Source organism: Homo sapiens, chromosome 8 (genome assembly GCF_000001405.40).
Source record: "Homo sapiens chromosome 8, GRCh38.p14 Primary Assembly".
Lineage (NCBI taxonomy): Eukaryota > Metazoa > Chordata > Mammalia > Primates > Hominidae > Homo > Homo sapiens.
In genome coordinates this window covers 64,689,374-64,714,421 of record NC_000008.11, presented here as the reverse complement: position 1 = coordinate 64,714,421, position 25,048 = coordinate 64,689,374, and the positions used below count along the sequence as shown (strand labels likewise).

The 25,048-nt window shown below is 36.6% G+C and overlaps 1 protein-coding gene across 3 annotated transcripts in view, besides 1 other annotated feature; it reads left to right on the top strand.

Moving 5' to 3' along the window:
* Positions 1-25,048, top strand: part of CYP7B1 (cytochrome P450 family 7 subfamily B member 1) — a 212,163-nt gene that overhangs the window by 84,316 nt on the left and 102,799 nt on the right. Inside the window, exons 1-2 of one of the 3 annotated variants that reach the window (XM_017014002.2) lie at positions 3,682-22,313; positions 22,406-22,496. The exons of the other annotated variants lie outside the window; for them this stretch is intronic. Of the exons in view, the coding sequence (XP_016869491.1) occupies positions 22,217-22,313; positions 22,406-22,496 (188 nt within the window). The 5' untranslated portion in view covers positions 3,682-22,216. Of the gene's footprint in view, positions 1-3,681; positions 22,314-22,405; positions 22,497-25,048 lie in introns of those variants that run through there. 3 annotated transcript variants of the gene reach the window in all.
* Positions 18,950-19,009: an enhancer, noted in NCBI's record as "active region_27456". NCBI's record gives its function as "activates an Ori minimal core promoter by ATAC-STARR-seq in GM12878 lymphoblastoid cells {active_cell/tissue: GM12878}" and the evidence as "EXISTENCE:reporter gene assay evidence [ECO:0000049][PMID:35858748]".

The following is a 25,048-nucleotide window of genomic DNA, read 5'->3' as shown; positions in this document are numbered from 1 at the left end:
GATTTAGTCCATGGTTAAATGGCGGGTCACAATGGTTTGAATGCTAACATGTTCTTCATCTTTTTGCCAGTTTGTTCATGCATTTGCACACATTTATTGATATTATTCTGGATCCTGGAAGATAAAGTGTAAATTCATATTCTTTATAAAAACCACACTGAATTGTTTTAAGATTTAGAAGTGTTTAGCATAAAAATGGACACATCTGGCTCAAGTTTGAGTCTTAAAGTGTTAATGTTTGTCCATTGCACAGAAGGTACAGAGGCCATATAGCATGGTTAAGAGCATGAATGCTGAAGCCAGAAACACAGGTTTGAGTCTTTGCTCCACTCAGAAAAGCTGGGCGACATTGAGCATGCCAACACCTAATCTTTCTGGGAGTCAGTGCCCTGATCTATAAAACAGAGATACAAGAGATCTTATCACCTTGTGTTTTGGGATTATATGAGTTACTACCTGCAAAGCATTTAAAGCAGCACTTGACATAAGATAGATGTTTACAATTATTAAATTCTGTCACTGATTCTTAATATATTTAAAATGCAGTCACTATGAGATAGCATAATGTAAAAAGAGAAGACCCATGAGTGTATAATTTTGATCAAATTTGGGAAAATTTGGGCTCTTATCTCTTGAAGATTTTTTTTTGACTCCCTGTCTCTTCCCTTCTGGGATTCCAATTACTTGCATTGCTTTATATTACCCTACTGGTCATTACTACTTTTTAATTTCTTTAGAGTTTTATCTTTTTTTCTTTCAGATAGTTTCTGTTGCTATTTCTTCAAGTTGACTGATCTCTTCTTCTACAGTATCTAATCTAATCTGCTGTCAATTTTACATAATTTTTTGTTACAGACATTTCATTTTTCATCTCTTAATATTTTCATTTTTTGTATCTTCCATTTCTTTCTTTTCAAGTTCATGTTTTTTTCTCTATTCTTGAACAAATGGAGAACATTTAATCACATGATATTTTAACTTCCCTGTCTGCAAATTCCATTCTCTCTCATTTTGGGAGCCTGCTTTTATTGATAGATTGATTTTTTTTTTCCTCTATGTTTTCCTGCTTCTTTGCTTGCCTGATAACTTTTTATTGCATCCTGGACATTGAGAATTTTATGGTTTGGGATGATGGATTTTGTCATATTCTTTTTGTTGTGCTTTGTTCTAGCATGCAGTTAAGCTTTTTGATATCAGGTTGATTTATTGGAAATTTGCATTTAAGGGTGGGTCTGGAAACAGATCATTTGACAAGTCTCATATACTACACATATACCAACAATTTTTGTTTGATGATGCTACTTATTAACTTTTCAATCAGCTCTCTATCCATTCATCCAAATAATGTTTTATTCAATTTCTCTTATATAATAGAATAAAGATAAATAAGAATCCTCAAGGAGCTTACAGTTCAAGAGAGAAGATCATTTAGGTGTAAAGCATTATCAGGCAGTAATTATGCACTAATAGGATTATATGCAAAGTGCTGTAGCATCTGTCGACATCTTACTTTTACCATGTGTATATATGGATATTCAACCAAAGTATAATCATACAACATTTTCTTCTCTCTTTCGGCCTCACAGTGTTTTAAGAAAATTAATTATACAAATTTCTGCACTGTAAGACTATATATATATAATATATAAAATATACATACACATAACACACACATATATAATGAGACATATACATATAAAATGAGAAAATGTATATATGTATACATATAAAATGAGGAGAAAATATATAAGTATGCATATATACATATATATAATGATATATATAAATGAGGAGAAAAATATATCCACATTTATAAAAATTCAAGAGTGTATTTAACAAATATATGTTGGTTGACTATAATGTGCCAGTTTCACAACTGGAGCTACAACCATGAAAAAAAAAATCCTTTCCACATGCAAATTTAAAATGCAAGATCAAGTGGTGATGATATATGATGTCTTATAAAATGATGACTCTGTGTTTATCTTCCCACTCTCAAGTGACATGATGGTTCTAGCATTGAGTTAATGGTAGAAAGTTGTCCCTAGGCAGGGCAGCCTGTTTTCTGTTCTGAGATCCAGAATGCAAGTGCTGCTGCTGCTGATGGCCAGTTCCAGTAAAGTGTTTTGTTTTAAAAAAAAAAAAAAGGATTGCTGATGGATCTATAATTTTGTCTGTGAAGGTGCTATTTTTGTAGCTACAAATTGACTTCCTTTTTTAGGATTTTAGAGTATGATTTTCAAGAAGATTCTTAATTGCAAAAGAAAAGTCAGGCTATGAGCTACAACTACAAATGTTACTACTATTGTTGTTCCTGCCTCTGCTACTGTAGCTCTGATTTTCTTAATTGTCAACATGTGCCAGTGCTGTGTTAGGCACTCTGTTCTTTGCTGACTTTATCTCTTTTAATCCTTGAAAGAACTGTGTGAGGTGAAGGATAATAATAGTGCAGAAGAGAAAGGATTGGCCATAAAATCATTTTTAAAGTATTTATGAAAAATGAGACATAGTCACCAAGACAGAAATAATTTTTGATTTGCTATATTGAAAGTGCTATAATAAGACTATTAACACATGCTACACTGCACATTGTAAATTGCAATTAGCATTGTTGATTTGATGACTGAGTAGATATCTTTCTGAGCAAGACTTATTTGGAAAATTCATTTCAATTTCTATATTGTTTTATAGAAGGAAGGCGTATTATAAGAATATTCAGAATTTAAAATAACCCCCACAAGGGTGCCTCCTTAGTATTATGGCTTGCTGAAGGGTAAATTCCCCACTTAACTAGCTTTCTGAAGAACTACCTGAAAGTTGAGTCAGACACAGATCAGAAGGGTCAATGTAGATGCACATAGGGAATTCTTTTCTGTAAACCTTGACTTCCCTCTTTAAGGCAGGGACTCATTTCAGAGAGTGACAGATGACAAAACCAACACTGGGCAGATGGCCTTCCCTTGGCACCTCACCCTCTTTGTAGCGCCACCATTTGTCCCTTCCCAGGAAGCAGCGGTGGTGGGCTTCTCTGCAGTGACTGGTCCCAGGCAGTGAGGCCACCAAGCAGGAGAGACGCCAGGAGGTTTACCATGCAGCTGTGAAATCATTTCCACTCAGCTGTGAGTTGTATACAAATAGAGAACTGGTTTGCTGTGATTCTGCTAGTCTAGAAGTTGTAGCAACAGATCTCTCTGTGCTGAGCTGACAGCAGATATGACCACTATCATTAGAGTTAAGGGCTCCTAGTGCCTCTACTCTTGTCTTCTTCTGGTGTATTAAACTTTGAGAGATTTGAAAACCTTTTACTCCCTCCCTCCCTCTCATGCCCACATCTCTCTTCCCCCTTCTAAAAATATAGAACAGAAATGGGCAAACTGCAATGTGCTTGTTTCTATAAATGCAGTTTGTTATAATGGTAGATAAAGTATTCTTAAGGTGAGAAGTATGTGTGGTTTTATTCTTTAAGATCTTGCAGGAGTTTTCCTATTTTAAACTACTACAAAGTAGGTATCTCCTTTTAAAATTGGGCTGCTTGAATATTTTATGTATTTTCAAATATGAAGCTTAGTTTGAAAGGTATTTATTTTTATAAGGTGCTTTATGTTTATATATTATATATAAGAATATAAATAAAATATATTTATATGTACTTTTTATACAATTTATATTTTACAAGGTGTTTTGTATTCATCTGTTGCTCAACCATGGATTTATCCATTCATGAAATTTATTGATGTACTACCATGTTCTGGGTACTGTTGGCCTACAGTGATATACAAAGGAGGTTTCTGAATCTAAAAATGGCAAGTATCCTAACTGAGATGTTAGCAGAATTCAGAGAAAAGAAAGATTATTTCCAAGGTTGGAGGAATTGGGGATGTAAGAAAAGTCTAAGAGAGAAGGTGTCAAATATGGTACCTGGTATATATAGGAGCTACTTAAACAGTATTTACTCCATGAATGAATGATGAAGGAACAAATGAAAGAGAAGTATCCTTTGGCCTTGCAAAGTGAGTAGGTTGGCAATGCCAGACCAAAGGCAACCATGTGAACAAAGGAAGACAGAAAATTCAAGGCAAAGTTAGGGAATGGAGAGCAACTCAGTCTAACTGGATCAGGGATGGGTGTTTTAAAAATAGAGGGCATCAAACTCTAAAGAATTTGAATCTTATTTGTGTCATAGGAAGCCATTGAGAGTTTCAGAGAGGATGGGGTGACCTGGTCAGATCTGTGCTTTACGAAGACTTGGCTGGCAACAACTGGTAGGCTAGGAGGGATGGATAGATTCCAGAATCACAGGGGCTGGTACTGAGACTAATGGAATCAGCGAGCCTGAATCTGCTGTGACTCTCTACTGCTTGAACAATATCCTCAGAAAAATGAGCCGAGTGCCATTGTTTTTATCTGATAGAACTGTTCTCGATATGGCCTGTAGAAAATGTCAACCAAATACTGTGGCAGGACAAAATCAGTCATGAAATCAGACTACAAAAAATTGCTCTCAAACAGTAAAGTTTGAGGTGAAGTAGCTCATGAGGAAAAAAAATCAATGTAGTAAAAATTAACACAGAAATCAAATCCTCTGCAATCTATTGTGCTTAATTTTCAACAATCTTAAGTGTTTCTGGGAGAGTACTTTGTAAGTTGATGTTTTCTTTTTCTTTTTCCTCCTTTGAAAAGCTATACACTGTGTATGCCGTTTATCCTTTTTCTGGCGCTTGTAACACAAATTATGATTCCATCCAGATTAGCCCTAAGGTATTTCACTTTCACTTCCTTTGAGAACTATTTCTTTCTTTGTAAAATATACAATTAAAATAATGATAATAGAAAACAGTCCAGATTTTTATGAACAGTCTTATAAATCCCAGGATTCTGACTTTTTAATAATTTTCACCATTGACTAATACATTTACATATGTTCTTAGTAATGAAAGCACTACTTGAATGACTATATATACATACATATTTAATTCTTCTTAACACACAAATACACAAATATCCATATCATTAAAGTTTTTATGCAGTGGGGAGAATTAAATGCATAACACTCTTTTCTTCTCCCTCTACACTTTATATTCAGAAATAGCTCATAAATAAGATACAAGAAAGAAAGATAGAAATCAAAAGATCAAATTTATTGTTGATCAAGCTTTTTGGAAAATGAAGCTTGGCATTTGCAGCTAAACAGGCTTGATTATATTTTGGTTCTTCCTCACTATACAAGGAAGTGATGGTCCACCCAAGGAAATGATTGTGTCTTCAGAGCACACACCCCTTCCCAGGAGGATCAGTGTTGCCTCTGGTGCAGAGCTGATAGAGAAGAGAATCCTGCACTGCGGCCCCTTTCTCAAGATTAGTCCACCAATTGGAGTAACACAGCTCAGTGCCTGTCAGATCACTGTTGCCCACAGTTAGATAAGTTAACATTTCTTCTTTGTGGAGAGGCAAAGGAGGAGGTGAGCATGAGGTTGAGGGAGAACTAATGGTGTTATCTATGGAAAGTACTTTCATCTAGATACACAAAACCAGTGGAAAGGAGGTTCCCCTCTAACATGCTTATACGAACACACACACAAATGTCTTCAAGCCTATGTAAATATTTCTGACTATGATTTTGCTATATGTAACTGATTTTAATAACTAGTACTTTCAGTGTTGAACATTGGATATAATCAAATGCGTGTATTATATACACTCAAGAATGCAGATATCTAAGCCATATTTCAAAAAATTATTAATTTCTAACAAAACATTAATTCAGAAAAGCAATACATTTAGTTTAAAAGTCCTCATGACCATATTAAATGTGAAAACATGGAATTATTTCTGAAATTCTACTGGAGCTGATATCATAGCACATAAAGCAACAAACTGAAACGCCTAGGTTCACTAGCATAATCCTGATACTGACATTATATTTAAAAAAATTTGTACTCATATCTTTGTGGATGTTCTTGGATGACTTCTTTCCTTAAGGATTTTGTTTACAACAAAATAGTGATTATTAAGTTTTGCAAAGTGTCAAAGAAAGGTGGTGACATATTGGCTGATTGTGAAAATGTGATAAAGATGTCGTGCTGAGTAGGTGAACTGGTGGCCTCAGTGAGGACAGAGTAGAGAGCAGAAGGGGATGTCATTGAACTTCCAAACTCAGTAAATTTCAGTGATTTTCACTGAAACCATCCTAAAATTTCTTTTGAATCTTTTATAGTTTTAAGCAAAATATTTAGATTAAGTCAGATTCACACTTAAATCCAATAATCTGTTATCCAACATCAATTACTCAATACAGATGACTGGGCAGTGAAGCAAACTTACATAACACCAGGCAAGGAAGAAAAGAACATAATATCCTTTGCCTCTTTCTGCTGATAGTCCATGCTCCCAAGGGCATTGTACATATCCTGATATTGCAAAAGATACAACAGCAAGCCTGAGGGGATTAGAATTATATGATTAGCACTTCTAATTCTCAGGGTAGTTCTCTATCTTCCTCCCTCCCCAGTACTGCCCATCATATGCCAGTGTATATATCTCTATTTCCAGAGAGTATACTTTGATAGTGAATTATTTTAAAAAACACATCTTATTTCCTATGTATAATTTCCAATAAAATCTTTAGAAATCCAGAGTTTGTGATTGGTCATAGCAGAGAGAATTTTGTTTGATTTTGGATTTTAAGTCTTTAGAAAAACAAATTGGAGTGCAAGAAAAGTGAAAAAAAAAACTAATTGAATAAAATGTAAATGTTTGGATGAAATGGCTTACTAGTCTAATTTGGTGATAACTGACTACCCAAGATAGCCTGCCATGTTAGTAATTGGGGAGGGAAACTTTTCATTTCAAATGACAGGTGAATACCATTTTCAGTGGTTAGCTTTTGATTACATGTCATGTTTGTAGTGGTCTATTGAATTTTTAAACTGCTGTAGTCTGATTGTGTTTGTGAAGTCTCTGTTCACTCAAAAGAAAGGAAGTGCCTACTATAACCTCTTCAATGCCAAATAAAACCCCCTAGATAAGCTTGGCCCATACTATGACTATGAAAGAACTTCTACCTGGAGATGATGTCACAAATTAGAGAGCTGGTTGCCTGGCCACTTATCAGGGGATATGGCCTTGAATTACACAGGCATGTTGAAATAGATATTAGACTCTGGAATTTGGGAAATGACATTGTCTCCAATATTCATTTTCTTGGCCTCTAGGTACCTTCAAACTAAATGGACTCCATTAAGGATGAAAGTATTGCCTTAGTAGAACTCTCAGACTTCCATTTTCTCTCTGGAAGGCTTGTTTTGCATACGCATATGTTGCACAACATATGGATTTTTGAGTTGTTGGAGTATAAATTCTAAATGTATATAAATTTATTATTGTTTAAAGCTGAATCATTCAAGGTTTCTAATATAAAGTCTGATTTTGTGTTCTACTGGATGGTATTAAGTGGATGAATTGCTCAATTGTTACGACTGCTTGGCAATCCTGTTTCCCTTTCTGATATTGGATACCTTCTTTTAAGAAAGTATTTTTTAAGCTGATGATAATCTTTTCTCCTACTTATTGAGGGCTTAGTATGTGCCAATAAAATGTCACTATTATTGTACCACATTGGAGATGAAATTCAAAGAGGAAAGACATGTGCTTGATGTAAGCAGCTTAGCAAGGTCCAACTCAGGTCTTCCTGCTCTCAGTGGTGATTCAGGACAGCCTCTTTATCAAGCAACATCCTTTTTTATTATTGTGATTAGTTTACTATTTTTAATAAGGGATGAAATGGACCTAATTAAATCCAATCGATAAGATAAGAGCCCTTACTTAGGACAAGAACTTCTATTTTCCTGATGCAACCAGGATTTCTTGCTGCAACTTTCATATGAAAAATCAGAGAAATGTAGAGAACTTTTATAATTGTGAAGCTTTTAACAGGTATTTCTGTTTCATTAGAATTAAGATCCTGATTAATGAAGAGAGATGAGAAAGTATGTGCTTAAATGATGAACACTCTCTTAGGTAGTCTATGGAAAGAATGATTGTTTCAGGAACAACCATCCTCCTAGTTTAAGAGTATAAAAAGAACGCCTACATTTTAAATGTTTTCCCTTATACTCATTATTGGCACACTTTACTCAGGACTTAGTAGTCAGTTTTACCATGTATTCTAACTTCACCTTCACCTTTGTACTCTAAAATTTCCTTGCATTAGGATCAAGTTTAGAGGTATCCTTTTATCTCAAAGTCAATTCTACCAACTATGTTTTCAGAGAGAAATGTTATCATAAGCCTGAAATCTTATGCCAGATAATTAGAGGGGCTCTTAATGCTGTTTTCTTTTTCCAGCAAAGTACTTTAAATAAATGCTTCATAAAAGTAGTTCTTATGTAAATAAAAAAAAATTAAGGCTCAGTTTAGACCTTCTTGGTTAAAATAACCCGTTGGAGTTCAGAGGGCTTATACACCACAATGTTAAATGCTCTAAATACCAAAGTGCCATCTTTCTGAATTTTATTGTTCTCACTGAATCACTGTATTATCTTGATACTTTCTAGCATTTTCAGTGCAATTATTAAAACAGTTATGGCCGCTCTAAAGGAATGTAATTGGAAAAGAAAGATGGCCTGTACTGGATGAAATTTTTAATTAATCTTTCACTGTTAAATTGTTCAAAATTAATCAAGTATATTGCCTATAAGAAGGCAACTGCACTTTACATACTTCAGTATTATCATCACCAAGCCATATATTAAAAGTTAATTTCTGATTTAAAAGTGTACCTTAACTGCAAAACCGTCAATTCTAAGTAATTCTATTACTCCCCTCACCCCCAAAAAATCTTATAAAAACCAAAGGACATGATAAAGAGAGTGCTTTGTGCTTAATGTTTTGAGATTTTTTTTTTTTGGCATGGACTTTGCAACATCAAATTAGGATATATGATTTCATAAAATAACTAATCTGAATTGGAGAATACCATTCATTCACTCATTGATTCAGTCATTCATTCATTTATTTAACACATCTATGTTGAAAAAAGTGATGTTTTAGACAATGAGAATAATGACTGAAATGCAATAGCAATTTTCTGACATATTATGAGACAATAAACAACTTAAATTCTAATCACGGCTGTAGATAAATATCCTTGGGGATATTTGAGAAAATTATGAAAAGGTGGTGATTCCCCCCCCCACCTTTTTGAATTATGCAGATTATATTCTCCACTGGTTCTTGCTTTTTACCGCCCTAACATATCAGAGTGATAAGATACAACCCACCTGATACACTTGGCCCCGAGGAAGTGCTTCTCAGATAAAAGGAGGAGGTGACTTATCCCTTTGCCAGAGCTGGGAATGACTGAAAGAGTTCCTTGGCTGTCTGCCCATTCCTAGGTTGAGAATTATCAGTAAATGGGATCATAGGTAATTACTGAGTAGGCCACAGAGATAATGTCTAAACACATCTAACGCAAGGTCCTTATGATCCTAATAGAGTCAGTGGAACTAAGTAAGTGTAGTTGATTTTTTCCCCCAATAAGTCAACTGGTTGTTGATTTAATTGATTAAGTAGATATTTTCATGCCACACAGACATACTCTAGATGTCAGCATAAAATAAATATATTATTTTGTTGGATATTTTTTAAGATGTGATAGTTGTGATCAAGACCATTTTAAGATAAATGTGTAACAGATATTTCTCAAAGCCAGAACAGCATGAAATGTTATATATCCCTGAATGCAAAAGTCAAGAGGTATGTCTAAGACTTTTCTGCTTTGATGTTAGAGCAGTCTTGATCTTACCACCTGGCTTTCAGAGACTATAAGAAGCTATTTCAAAGAGGCAAAGATGTAAAAAACAAATGTGCTACTGTTCTTAGAATCAATGAAATAAGGTTATACCTTTTCCTGACAATTTTCTATGTTCTGATACATATTATATTTTTAAACCTGCATGCAAAACACATATAATGCTACACATTGAGATGTTACTTAGGAAAGTCATATTATATGAATTAAATGGGGAACCCACTGAGATGATTAAGATATATCTGTGGAATTTATAGACATTATTCATCTACCAGATATTGCCTCTTTAGAAAGAGTATCCTGGAATGCCAGGTTTGATTGAATGACTTGAAATTGGGTAAAAATCTTTTCTGTACTGGGCTAGCCATACAATGAAGTCAGCTGACACATGGGTAAAATAGACAAGCTATTTAATGTCATGATCTGAGGAAGTTAAAAAAAGAGTTTTTATTTCTTCCTGCCATGGATTATCTCTGCCTTTCCTCTTTTTAAAAATAGAAATGCTTCTTTGAGAGTTAACACATCATACTTCTAACAACTTATCATGGGTTAGTTTTTTATTGCTTTCTGTCCTGACTAGGCATATAGAAAGAAAAGTGCAGCAAACAAAAGGATAACCCTGAAGAAAAACTTGAGCTGTTTCTCTGCTTTGTCTAATCTCCTGTCAGGACATCATTTATTACCCACAATATTCACTTGAGAAAACAACTTTGAGAAACCAGCAAAGAAAAAGCCAAAGGATGAAGATGAAGTCCTTCTATAGTTCAAATCGCTCATGTCTGTGATCTTCAAAATGTGACATTGGACAATCAATTTAAATGCTCTTTTTTAAAAGATAGACTGTTGTATTGATTATTATTTCATGCTATCTAAAAGTTTCCAAAATATTTTGTCTTGTTGTAAAGAGAGAACCAGATTAAAACAATCACGTGTCAGTTTGTTTTCTAAATATTCATATATTCTCCTCCCTTTCTGAATGACAGAGCCGTTGACCAACAGCTGTTTCTATTATGTAGTTTGGGATATGCTTCTTTCGTTTGTTTACCCTATTAATGTGAGGATTTCTAATGTTTCATCCTTCAGACAAGGAACTGGTCCTGATGGCCTAGCTGCTACCTATATTTTCCTGGCTTCTTTTGTATGGTATTAAATATGATTTAGAGGTTTCTTCAAATTGTATTTTCATTAAAGGAAAAAACCAAGCATGTAAGAGCCAGACAGTTTTATAAGAAGAGTAGAATATCATGGTGTAAGGGGTTATGCTGTGCTTCCGTTTTATGTATAATTAAGCAATTCAAGCAAATCAAGATAATTTATCTTAGCAACTAGATGATTATTTTTCTCCTTTTGAATAGGAGCTGTCTTTTATTTTGTTTAAAAATGCATCCTTACCTTCTGTTTTGGAACAGAATAGAAGCATTTAAAAAGATAGAATTTCGTATTGTTGAAAGAAATGTGAGACAAAGCTGACAACCCGTTCATAAGGCCCTTTCACCCCATCTCTAGGCATGGTGACATTGGTACAGACAGGGTTTGTCACTCATAAATTTACAGCTTATTCCAGTCTCTTCATAAATTGACTAAATTTTTTGAAAGAAAAAAAATATAGATGTATAAAATACCCAGTTATAGGTTGTGTTCTATTTAGCCCTTGATTGAAACGTATTGCTCCTTAGTATCTTTTAGCTATGAAAATTATAATATGGAACAGAGATTAGAATGAAATTATCATGGCTAGAAGGCATTTACTCAGTGGTGGCAACCACATAAACCTGGGTCCTGAGAATGATGATAATACATTAGGTTCTGCATGCCCGATATTATTGCCGTACATTATGTATGTTTCATTTATACTATTTCGCACACACCAGCAACGCTGACAGATAGGTAATTACTCTCTGCGCCAATGAACAGTTATCAGCACCACCGCTGTTTATTGCTGGAATGAAGCGCGCTTGTCAGTCAAGGTCACTTGTTTGTGTGTCCTCTTCAATAGTTCCTTCACAGTTGTTGAACTTTGCACACAGTTCTTATTGCAGGGTTCCTGGAGGTTACTTTACTACATAATGTGTTTCTGGTGTTATCAAAGTCACTTGTATTTATCACTTTAATTGATAAACAACGAAGTCACAGGAAGCAGAACTGAAGATGTGAAAAAACATATTTTGCTAGTCAGCTGATCCCAGTAGGTTTTCAGTAATGAATGACCTCAAGAAGATGCATTCAGCACAGACCCTTTCAGGTTGTGATACGCTGCCAGCCTAAGCTAGTGAAATCTCATTTTATAACATTAACCTTAATTTCAGCTGCTGATGGATACTGACACAATTTCATAACTACTATAGAGTTAATGTTTTTACCCTCTAGAAGTGTTTTTCTTTGTTCATTTCTTGTGCAGTGCAGAGGTTATTTTCATGCTTAGTATAGTTCTATAATGGGCTAAGTCCATTTGGTTTGACTTAAAACCAGTCATGTTTATTTGTTAGATATGTGCCATTAAAGCCTCCCCTTCCCATAAAAAATATTATCAGTCTAATGCTGGTTCTCCTCATTGTGTTAAAGCACCGGTCGTGTTCCAAAATGAACATTGCATGGTGCATTTTTTAGAGTAAAAATAAATTCAATGCCATTGTGTCGATCCCATGCAGCCTGTAATTTCATCTGTTATAAAATAAAGAGAATGGTTGGTCTTTTTATTTTTGTTTGTTAGCTACAGTGCTTTATTAGAAACTGGAATAACCTCTGTGATATAATAATTTATCTAGTCAAGATAACTGGAGTTATTTCCTTAAGCCTGTGATCAGCTTGAGTTTGTGTGTTGGGAGGTTTATACTGCCGTTGCTTATTACCAAAGAAACAGTTAAAAAGGATTTATGGTAGTGCCCGTTATGTGTGTGTCTGGAATTTTTGTGTATTTAACTTCTCTCCTTGCCTATCTCTGTTTTTTCCTCTCTTAACATTATCGTCAAATAGAGAGACTATCTATACCTACAATTAAATGCAAATTTTATTCAGGCATTTAAGCAGAATCACATTCATTCATTAAACCAAATGATTCTTTTATTTGAAAAAATATATCAGCACATGGTAATATCACACCCTGCTTACAAGGGCCTCTAGTTCTCTGTCAGTGCAAAAGTTTACTATTTCATTATTAAAGGATTAAACTACAGCAAAAGCTGCCTGGTGACCATGAATGTTTTAGTTAATTTGATTATGCCCATAAAGAAAGAGTTTAATTCCATAGCAGCCAGTGGGTCTTATACCTGGCAGTGTGGTTCCAATGCATTACGGGCATGATCTTATCCTGGGAGAGACTGAAATTGCCATTTGGGTGAAGTGTGGAGGAAGAGATGAGAACTGGGTTCACTGGTGAACCCAGGTTAACACCATGCCTCGACGTTTTCAAAATGCTTCCTTTTCTTAGTTCTTAGTTACCAGAGTGTTACAAAGAAAGGGTTTTGATCTCATGTAGATAGCATAGCATTAATTACCCTGACACTAATTAAACTGCATCAAACAAATACCACCGTGTTCCTCAGGGGGACAACAGAAGGCAGTTTAAAATAATTACTGGAGCTTCATGCATGTGTGAAGTTTTCATTACTCTTAGGACACAAGCAAAAAAGATTTGATATCATTAAAATAGCCACCTTTTAGTGATTGCAACAACAACAACAACAACAACAAAAAGTGACTAAAATTTCCTTGGAGCATATTGATGTCTAAATAGTGGTGGCTTCAGTTCTTCAGAATGGTAACTTTTCCTTAAGAATTGGAAGTGTGTGAAGCAGGAACAGGTGTTCCAGTCACATTCTGGTATGATTATGTATTAGCTTATGTTTGTCAGACCATTTCATTAACCACCCACTGCTATCACATATACATATACTTTGTTCTTTCTGAACCATGAAATGAAATGCATATATCTTCACTAATGCTTGCTATCAATGTAAATGAGAAAAAGAGGCTTATTACCAATCACGACTCCCATGAAGTCCACACCTCTGTACACTTACAGGTAATAAACATCTTTTTTGTAAGTAGAACAAAAGATATATTGAGTTCTGCCTATAATAAGAGATAGTGATCTTGTCCTACTTTTTTGTCCTAATAGATGGTACTTCCCATACATAGTTTGACACAATGCTATGGGAAGCAAGCTTCTCTCAAAACTGGAAGTGCTTGTTATTTTTGAGATCTGACATCATTCTGGACATAAGCAAACTTTTCTGGTCACAGATAATGGACCTTTTGTGCCACTGGACAAGTGCAGTGAATTAGTGGCCACCGTTACTAGGATCATAGATGGTCCCTGTCCTGGTGGTTGTTAGAAAGGACTGATGTCAAAATTGCCAAATGGATGGTATAAATGATTGACAGTGTTGCTGTGTTAGGGCCGGTTATGGTGACTGTGGAAGTTGCTCATGTTTGATTGCTCTTTTAAGTGTGTGTGACTCTGCACATGTGTGCTTGATGTGTGTGCATGGTGAATTCTATGCGTCGTCCCCACTGTCTGCTCAGTATATATGCACACAGCACATTCTACAGTTTTGTCCTCACAAGGTCACTTATCCTATTTATCTCAGTGACATATGAGCAGTGGGACTCAAGTTGTCTGGGTTCTAGCACCAGGTGCCAGCCATCCTCCCTGAAAAGGTGTTGGGAATTAAAATGGGAGAGTGGTCATTTCCAGATTGATGCAACTCATATTTCATTCAGTGAATGACTCCTTGAATGTGATTATGGAGTGGTTCTGTGTATGCAGTACTGCATAACATAAGCCATTTATTTTTTTACTTCCTTCTGAAAGCAATAATTTAAGGGAATTATGCATTATGAGGGTTTTCCAGTAATTTTTTTTAAAATTAAAATAATGCTAGCTATTTTAGGAAACCTGTTTAGGAAAATAACACTGAATTAGTGCTTTGCAGTTGTCACACTAAGCAAAAAATGGAACAAAACTGATTGTAGAAGAATAAAAAATTAATCCAGTTGTAGAAATTTGATGTGTTCAAAAATATGCAAAAAATATACTTTTGTTCCTTTATAGCCAGATGGTTTGTCCTATTTTAAGCTGATAGTAACTTCATACATCTCTCTTGAATGTCATTGGTTTTAACTGGCAGACAGTATCTACTATTAGAATTTTCCTTATTCCTGGATGATCTAAAGTGTATTTTTGGAACATTTGGATGATCATACTGTACACCAAGAAAATTTTTTCATTACACTTAGCTCATACTCAAAAAAGTGTTTATATAATTTTAAAAAAACCTCTAAAAATGAACAGTTCTTTTGACATGATGTTGACAGAAGTCACTTTGATGTAGTTTAGAGTCATGAATTTTCTATCTGTTCCATTTTTCCTGGGGCTCCATCAACTCAGACATCCTGATCTGTCATTTTTCAACTCTTTGTGAAGGCCTTGACAGATAGAGGTTTTGACAAGTGCTGGACATCAGCAGCAATTTAGAATAAGCAGTGTATATTTCTCCAGGTAAAGTGACAAAATGTCTAAAAGTGTCAGAAGAACTATGTGGCCTGCAATCATCTCTAATACTATAAAGCAAGCTTCCATTTAAGTACTGTGTTGCAGCATTGTATGATGGCTGAAATTTAAAATTCTGTCAGAACCTATGATTAGAGGGCATCTGGCTTATTTACAAGTGTTTGCAATATTAAGAACCTTAGGGTCACTAGAAAAAAATCCTTTAAATTTCTAATGAGTGAATGATCAGGATAATCACATAATGTGATAGGAGTCTTTAAAACTATAACACACCATTATATATTTTTTTGTTTCTTCAGTACTAATTTGGGTCATTCTTTTTAATGAAAACCTACTTCCTGTGCTGTCTTCAGAGTGTACAGTTCAGAGTTCAACTTAAGGGAACTTTCACTGGGTGCTAATTATAACAGGTCATTCAGGTTTCAGATGTGCCAGCATTTTTCCTGGTTGACTCTTCTATCAATGACTAAGTAATAACTGTAAATATCATCTCGCATATTGAATATGTTGTCCTTTTCATATAATTATTTTGTGTCTGTATTCACTCAAGAAACAGCTGTTAAAAGTTGAGTGGGATGCAAAATGGCACAGCCTGAAGATGTTCTTACTCACTCAGCTAACTCCCTTTTGATGTGATACCTACTGGCAGGGTCGCGTGGTGAATTCAACTTCTTTGACAGCCATCAGCACTACTGACCAGTGGTTTTGGGTTTTCTAGTGAGGGGAAAGAGTAGGAAAGAATTCCGTAGTTTAGTTTTTTTCCCCCCCCTGCTGCTGGAGCTAAAGCTTCTGCCAACAACTATCTAAATCAACACCATGCCAACGTGATCTGCAGACCAAAGGTCACTCCAACATCTGGCCCCACTGTCTGCTTCTTTCAGGTTTGTCACTGGGCAGCATCTGCTTATGGATTCTTTCTCAACCTCTCTTTGATCTCTCTGACAGTAAAAAGAAGCTTCTATCACCCATCATGTGTTAGGACTTTAAAAAATAAATTCGAAAGCATGAGACATTGGAAAACTGGTGGAATTTTATGTTTTTCACTCTTGTATACGTTGAACATTTTATTTGATACAAGGCCATGGACTAAGGTGATTCTACTCTTGATTTCAAAAAGTATTGTCGTAATCAGTAAGTCCAGTCTGTGAAAATATCTGGTCTATGTGAGCCCTGTCTTGTCTCTCTTGGTCAGGATTTAAAAAATGAAAACTGAAGAGCACAAACTGGTTTTGTTTTTGGTTTGTTTGGTTTGTATTGACTCTGAAGAGTCCGTGGTGATAGCTCTTGTCTGCTTTTCTGACATTTCTATCAGTGGTTGAGATCTCATGTATTTTTCATCCATAGTGTGGAATGTAGAGCACAGTTTGGGGATGCTACATAGTCTCTGGGTACATATTGGTGAACATGGTCAGCCTTTTCGTGAAACGAAGCCCAACAGCCTGTTCTCCCTGGCAGCAGTGGCGTATCTCCTAGATAAGGCACAAAAACAGCCCCATGCGCTATTAGTTCTTCCTTCATTCCTTCAGCCCTCCTCCCTCCAGGTGAGTTCTTATTATGTCCAACCTGGAGTTCAAATTCAGCCAGCACAAAACGAATGCTGACTCTGTGCCTGGCACTATCCTAGGTGTTGGTTATACAGAAATGGACAAGACAGACACACGTCCTGTTCTCTCAGAGTTTACAGTCTGGATTGACACAGCGGGAGGGGGGCTTACACATTTTCATGTCATAAAAAACTGAATGAGTCAGAATGTGTTTGGCCTTCCCCAAGAAGTGGCAACCCATTACTGTATTTATATGTGAGTATAATTATAAGAGTTCACAGCTATGATTGTAACACAATTTTAGTTCTAGTCCAAATCAAATGCCAAAACTCTCAGGGGAAAAATGATAATGCATTCTCCAGCACCTAACACAGAACCTGCCAGGCAATACACGTTGTGGAGAGAATTTGTGATTTTCTTCCATTTTCATTCATTCTCCAAACAGATTGGCAGTTTCTATTTTCCTTCACCCTCCAGGAAACTAAAGCAGTAGATAAAACCCTTTTTTTCCCCTGTGTGATTTAACTTTGGCTAACTAAAACAAGAACTTGTGTTTGTAGCATTTGCCACAATTTCACAGCACTTTTACTGCTTTGTCATCATTTATTTTTCACAAAATTCCAGAAATGTACAAGAAACCCAGAATTGAGCTGTTAAGTCCACAGTGACTGAGAGAGCATTCAGACCAGAAATTTGCATGTATTTTTACAATTATTAGTTTTTAACATCTCATGTTCATCTCATAAAAGAATTACCTAGGAACTTGTTCTGTCAGTTAACCAGTGCTTCAGAAAGTGCTTAAATAATTGATGAAATATAAGAAAAAAAAAGTAAGCAATATGACACAAAGAATGGGACTATTTCGTATGGAAATCAGGCTAAATACTTTACAGTCACAAATCAATGCTAAGATGAAGACTGACAAAGCTAGCACTATGTCTCCTTAGCCATACATATTCCAAAAAGACTGGGGCTCAGAGTAGCTGGCTTCTCATTTCCTTTCCTGCTGACTAGTTTAGTGACCATGAACAAGTCATTTGAGCTTCCTGGTTCTCAGGGTTTCATTTTTCATCTGCAAAAGATGGTCTGAGGATTAGGTGGTAAAAATAATAATTTATATCTGATTTTTTGCTTTGCAGTTTATAGTTTCCACATATATTATCCCCTTTAACCAGAACTTTGTTTCAATATTTTAGGAATCTGTAGTTTCATTATAAAGGCTAAATGTTTGATTTCCAAAAGTATTGTCATAATCAATAAGTTCAATATGTAAAAACATCTGGTCTAAGTGAGTACCATCTTGTCTGTCTTGGTCAGCATTTAAAAATAAGGCCTTCAGTGCAGGCATCAGATAATAATGACCCTGTATGATAACCTCATACCTGCTTTGGAAATTATCTAACTGTGGAAATCCAGTCCCCTAAATGATAAGTGCTTGTATTGGTAAAGAATAGTCATGACCCTGTTAATAAATCTGTTGTTGGGTCTTCTTTGTTCTGGACATTTAGCATTACAAACTCAGAGGAATGAATTAATGTCCAATAAATTATAAGAATTATAACTGTTCTATTTATCATATACATTTAGATAATTTAAGAATAGAATCTACATTTTGCATTTTTAAATTTATATCTAATTACATCATTTGAAGTACTTGAAAACATTTTGCACATCAAAAAATTTTTCTTTTCTTTTAAAAGCAGCCAGATTACAAAATAGCCCTTTTTTTGTTAACCAACCTGAGAATTTACATATATTACTTTGACCACTAGAGGGAGTCTGCATTGTCAGGAATGCCAAGCCCAAGAGAACATGAAACAGGCTGTTTTCGGGTGCTGATGACACATCCATTGTCTGTCCACGATATCATATGCATACAAATTGCCATAGTAATCACATTAACTGTCACTGGGTTCATTATTTTCCTTAAAAAAAAAAAAAAAAAAAAAAAAAAGGAATTTGATAACATGTTTTATTTTGTTCTTTTTAAAAAGTGCACAACTTTTAAAAGGTGACAAAAACTTACAATGCTTCCTTAAAATAACAGAGATTTAGCAGTCTGAAGAACATGGGGGATTAAATAACATAAATTAGTGATAATCTGATCACTTCCATTTTAGGGCTGGTTTTGTAATCTGGAAATGAACATGTCCTCCTTCTCCCTCAGCCCGCCGCCCAATGTAGGCAGCAGCTGTGCAGGGTTTTTGCATCCTAACCTACTGATGTACATCGCCCCTAACCTGCAGGGACTTCCTTCCAGGGTGAGAGGGTAATTGTGGCTCATGTCCGGTCAGTCCTCAGACCTCTTCTGAGACTGCCAAACAAGTGGCTTTGCGTGTGTATTTTTCACAGAGCCGGTTTATAAATGAGGAACTGAGCTGAAACCACCTGCTCGTTTCACCTCAGCTACCAAAAGCAGAGGGAGGGCAGGGACAGCCATTCCTTTCTCAGCATGGCTGATTTTTAGTCAGCAGCATATAATTGAAGGGTTCGAATTGTTTTGAATTTCAGATTTTCAACAGGACCCTTGAGTTTTGCTTAAATGTCTTATCTTATGCATTATTGACGTCAGATTCAGTTCATTTCTGGATTGCCCACTTCTCGTTACCCATGTACTCAGAAGTCAGGACAGAACGGGCAATCAAAACTGCAGTTTGTTATTACAGATATGTATTTATGTATAACTTTTGTTCCTACATTTTGATACAGGTAGCTTTGATAATCTGGGAAACCATTACATTCCTCCCAGATAAAACCTGCCTCAGAGTGGCCTAGCATAGTGCTTCTCAAACTACACGCAGAGACAGACCACTTCCTTTATTTCCTTCCAATTTTTTTGGATCAATACTTCCACAAAATACAGTAAAAATAAATGACTAGAAATAAAAAACACTTGAAATATTAACTAATTTTCTATTATTATCTTCAACAGACAAAATTATTCTGTGAAATTGCTGTAAGAGTTTCTATGCTCTTCCTCTCCTTTCTGTCTCTCACTGTGGACCAGCACAGGCAGTCCCGAGGCCAGCATTCTGACTTGCACTGGCCTCATAGCACTCTCATTTACCACCCTACCTCTGCACCTTTCAGACTCATGCAGAGCTCCAACTTTAGCAGAATTCCCCTGTTCTTCCTTATCTAGAGCAAGGCCAGACTTGGAAGGTTTTGCTTCAGTACTGAACATAGAGTGGAGGTAAACAGAAAAAGCCATATTTAAAATTACAAAGCAGAGTTGGTGGCAGTGTTGGTTTAATGAAAATAAGGTTTCAAATGTTTGACCCTGAGCATGTAATTAAAAGTTTATTGCAGATGATATTTTCTAATCACCTCACTCTACAAGAGATTCAATATTAAATTATTTCTTTTCTTATGAATTTGGGGCAGGAATGAAGCAATTAAAGGGGGTCTTCATGTTCATGAAATATTCAGTAGGTAGAGAATCTGGAGAGCTTAGTAAAATAATAGGCTGAACACACTGCCTTATTTTTCTTTCTTTTCAGTTGCCCTTTGAAATAGAGCTGATGGTAATTTTGTCTTCCAAGCCTCAACGCGTATTGAGGACAGATTAGCTAAACACACTGGTCTGGGAATCAAGAGACCTGGTTATCATCTTGTCACTACTTACTAGCCAGATGGCCTTCAGCAAATCACTTTAGACTTCAGTTTTCTCTTCTTAAAATGGGAAGACTGTTACCTCTCTAATTCCCTCACAGGCTTGGTTGCTAGGAAGATCAAGTTAACTAGTCAGTGGGCTTTGGAGACCAGCAAACAAGTTACACACACACACGTATATATGTGTATGTGTATATATTGCATGGTTCTCCATTTATTTAATCATGTATTTCTCTTGAATGCTCTTGAAATATATACCTTCTAAGTTCATTGTTAATCCATTCCATTTTATGGTCCTTTCTCACCCTATGCCTAGTCCACCCATAACTTTAAGCACATGGTTATTTTTGTACTTCTTTTGAAAGGTAAAAGATAAACTTAAATATACACAATACAGTTTATTATTAGAAATGTTAGAGGAAAGGATCATTTAAGTATAATCTACAAGGTTTCATCTCACTTGCGCAGTGTTGTGAAGCAGAGGTATGGTACTGAGCTATGCTGTCTGGATAAGAGGGAGCCTGGCCTCTGAAGGCTCAGTGTCAAGCCCCATTGCTGCCTCCTTGCCAAAACACACACAAAGACACATGCCTGTATGCACATATGTGCACACATATACATACCCGCACACACACACGGACGCACACATATAGAAATGTATACATGTGCATGCACACATGCACACTTACACAAATGTGCACACACATCCCAAGTGCTTGACACTCAGTTGTCTCCCAATAGCCATGGCCAGACCTGCACAATTTCTGCATGACAGTACTCTGTCATGCAGATCATGTCTGAACGACATACTCTGGCTAGGCTCTGCAAGTGAAGATAATGGGACTTCCTTTGGAGAACAGTGATTGCAAATGAGACCACAAGGTCATTGCCCTGAGAGCAAAGAAGCAGGATGTCTTAATGCTGGGACACTTGGCAAAGCCTAGTCCTGACCAGCCTCTTCAGTCCATGAGGAGACAGCTTTGAATGATTTGACTCCAAATATGAAATTCTGGAAATAGAAAATGGAAAAGCATTTTTCACCCTAGTAAACTGGAACATGTGGCTGGAAGAGTTACATGTGGCTCGAGAACAGTTTGGAAGAATTACAGAACCTCATTCATTCATACATACATTCAAACATTTATAGAGCATCTATAATGTACCAGGTCCAGTGCCTGGTACTGGGTAGACAGTAGCAAGAAAAAATAATCTGAGTATCTGCTCTCATAAAAAATATGGATAATTATAATACAGGTGTGGAAATGACTCCAGGAGACTTTTCCCTCTTCTGCTGTCTTTGAAGGTGTACTCAATGTGATAAAGTCAGATGAAGCTGTGGAATCCAAGCCTGAGTTTATTCTGACCTTTACGTAATTATACCTGTGATCCTCTCAGCCCACTGTGATCTAGATTCTGTTCTCTCTCCACTTCTCTAAGACACACTGAGAAATGTCCATGACCATTTTCTGTTGCTCTTAGATAGATAGCTGACCTAGGCATGTCAAGGGAAGCACTCTCAGACCGGGCTCCATCTCTGTGCACCGGGGTCTGCTTCAACAGCTTGGAGTCTGAATTTGTCAGTGAATACAGATTAACCACCCTCTCATAAACTGATGTACACATAGTCTCAAAAAAGACATGAGTAAGTGATAATATCCATTTGTTAATTTGCAGTTAGGAGTGAACCCTTTCAGAGACATAAATGCTTAAATGGGCTAGTCAGGGTATCCCCTTATTGACATGGAGGTAACATTGATGTTACGTTGGTCTTCCAGAGGCTGCTTCATGAGAATAGAATCAGAGCAATCGACAGTGGATAGTATTGTGGCTCTTTGGGGTAGGTACCTATTGTTAGCATATGCGTATTCATTTCTGTGATCCTTTCCACTTCATCTGTGAGTTTTTTTTCTAATAATGTTTTGGCCACAGAGGACATTCAGTTGATGCTGACTGACTGCAATCCTTTGAGACAAGATTTGGATATCTATACTCTGCAACTTCCAGAAAAAACATGTTTGAGGTATGTCAGAAAGGTGGCCCTTTGGGTGTTCACAGTAACTGTGTGATAAGCATCGTCTGTACTGGGGAAGGTGCTCTGACCTAAGAACTAGGAGGCAGGAGGCTTGCTCTGGCTCTGCCCCCTACTGTGGCAGTCACTTAACTCCACTGCAGATGGGGGAGGTTGGACTGGATGAGCAGTAAGGGCCTGTCCAGCCTCAGTGCTCAGATGATCCATGACTGTTGAGCTGGTGCTAGTGGTGGACTTGTGAGTTCCTCAGGCTACACTAAAGTGGAGGTATTTTTTATGCCATTGTCATTGCATTGAAAATGTTGTTTCATGTACCTACTATGTCTCAGGCACTTGGATGCAACAATGAGTAGAAACAAGCCTATTGCATTTACAGTTGAAAAGGACTTTGGAGGCCATCCACATTCCAGCTTTAACCACCACCCCCCCCCCCCAGTTGCCATCGCAACCATACGTTCATGTTGGTGCCTGTTTATATGTACATATGCTGGCTGTGTGTGCCAGTGGGAGCTGTGCTTTTCTGGCAACCTGTATTCTGTGACAGTGGACAAGAGTTAAGAGAGGAGAAGGTAGGTAGCCATTTGGTTTCTCCTGTCTTTTATTTTAGAGCTTTTGGAAGAGCTGATAAGTGATCACTAAGCCTGCTTAACGTCCCTAAACTGTACTACCTATTTAATGGTTGAATTTCTGTTGATAAATAAGAAAATTTAAACGTTTTGGTAAAGTATACAACTTTGATAAGTGCCCATGTCTATTGAGACTTTTTGAAACTTTGTAGAAGCTCTGGATGTTGTATAATGTTGAAGTAATACCTTAGCCATTGGTAGGACTCCCCTCACTGTCATTGTTAAACCACCTCCTCCCCGAGCCCTGGGAAGCCTACCTCGGGAGTTGTTTCATCCCAGAGCGTTATAGAACAGAATTGCTCATCAAACCAGGAGGAGGAATGGAGTGGTGAATTTTGCACAGTTACACATGTGCAGTCCCTTCGTGCCATAAATATTTGGTTCCATTTCTTACTGGAAGGCATAAAACTGATTGCTTATGTGCATGTTTAAGCCACAAAAATGTCCTGGCAGAAAGTGAATGCCTGGGGATGTTTGTATCCACATCCCACAGCAGAGTGAACAGGAGAAGTAGTTCCAGCTAAAGGAGAAGCATAAGCCTGCCTTGGAAAATGCTTTCTCGTTTCACAATCTATTTTATATATATTTTTTGAATAGAACAATTCTCACATATTTCTTTAACCGTGGCTCAACATATATATACTACTGAAAATGCTGGTTATTCCATCAAATTTGAAAAAGAATAATACATAAGTTTTTGTTGTTGATGTTTGTTTTAACCAGCATTTTCTTAGCAGGTCCATAAAAAAGAAATTAGAAATTTTTATGGCCTCATAGTTTCTTGGCTTCAAAGAAGGCTGTAAATAAGAGTATCTCTATCCACCCCTTCCTCCAAAAAAAATACACAACATCTGGGTTTGCTCATTACTTTTTGTTTGTTTGTTTGTGGAGACAGGGTCTCACTGTATCGCCCAAGCTGGAGTGCAGTGGTGCGATCACAGCTTTCTGCAGCCTCAACCTCCCAGGGTCAATCGATCCTCCTACTTCATCCTCCTGAGTAGCTAGAACCACAGGCATGCATCACCATGCCAGATTAATTTTTGTAATTTTTATTTTTGTAGAGATGGGATTTTGCTATGTTGCCCGGGTTGGTCTCTACCTTTGGGCTCAAGCGATGCACCTGCCTTGGCCTCCCAAAGTGCTGGGATTTCAGGCGTGAGCCACCGTGCTTGGCCCCCGATCATTACTTTTTAAATAGGATGTTTGATCATAAACATGGGGAAATGATGGCATAAAATAATTGATTTATTTTAAAGACTATCTAGCATTGGAATATTCTTTTAAAATTAGGAAAAGAGTATTACATCAAGACATATTTCTCCTTATTTAAAAGGAGAACACATATTTTAATATAGTAATTACATAGCTGTAATTTATTTGAAGCGTTTTCCAAAGAGTGGAAATGCAATTAGAAACAGAAGCAGGCCGGGCGTGGTCGCTCATGCCTGTAATCCCAGCACTTTGGGAGGATGAGGCGGGTGGATCATTTGAGGTTAGGAGTTCGAGAGCAGCCTGGCCCACATGGTGAAACCCCATCTCTACTAAAAATACAAAAATTTGCCGGGCAGTAGTGGCGCACACCTGTAATTCCAGCTACTCAGGAGGCTGAGGCAGGAGAATCACTTGGAGCCTGTGAGGTGAAGGTTGCAGTGAGCTGAGATTGTGCCACTTCACTCCAGTCTGGGTGACAGAGTGAGACCCTGTCCAAAAAAAAAAACTGGAATCAAATAATTGTTTTGGTGGTCTATTAGCCAGTTAAAAGTTGCATATAACCTATAAAAACAATGGATATTTCAACATGGACCAATTTCATTCATAAATAACAGCACAGAAGAAGGAATGTGTTGTGCTTTGATTCGTGATTTTCATGATTTTGGGGATAATATTTCTCATACATGCCTGCAAGTGTCAGTATGT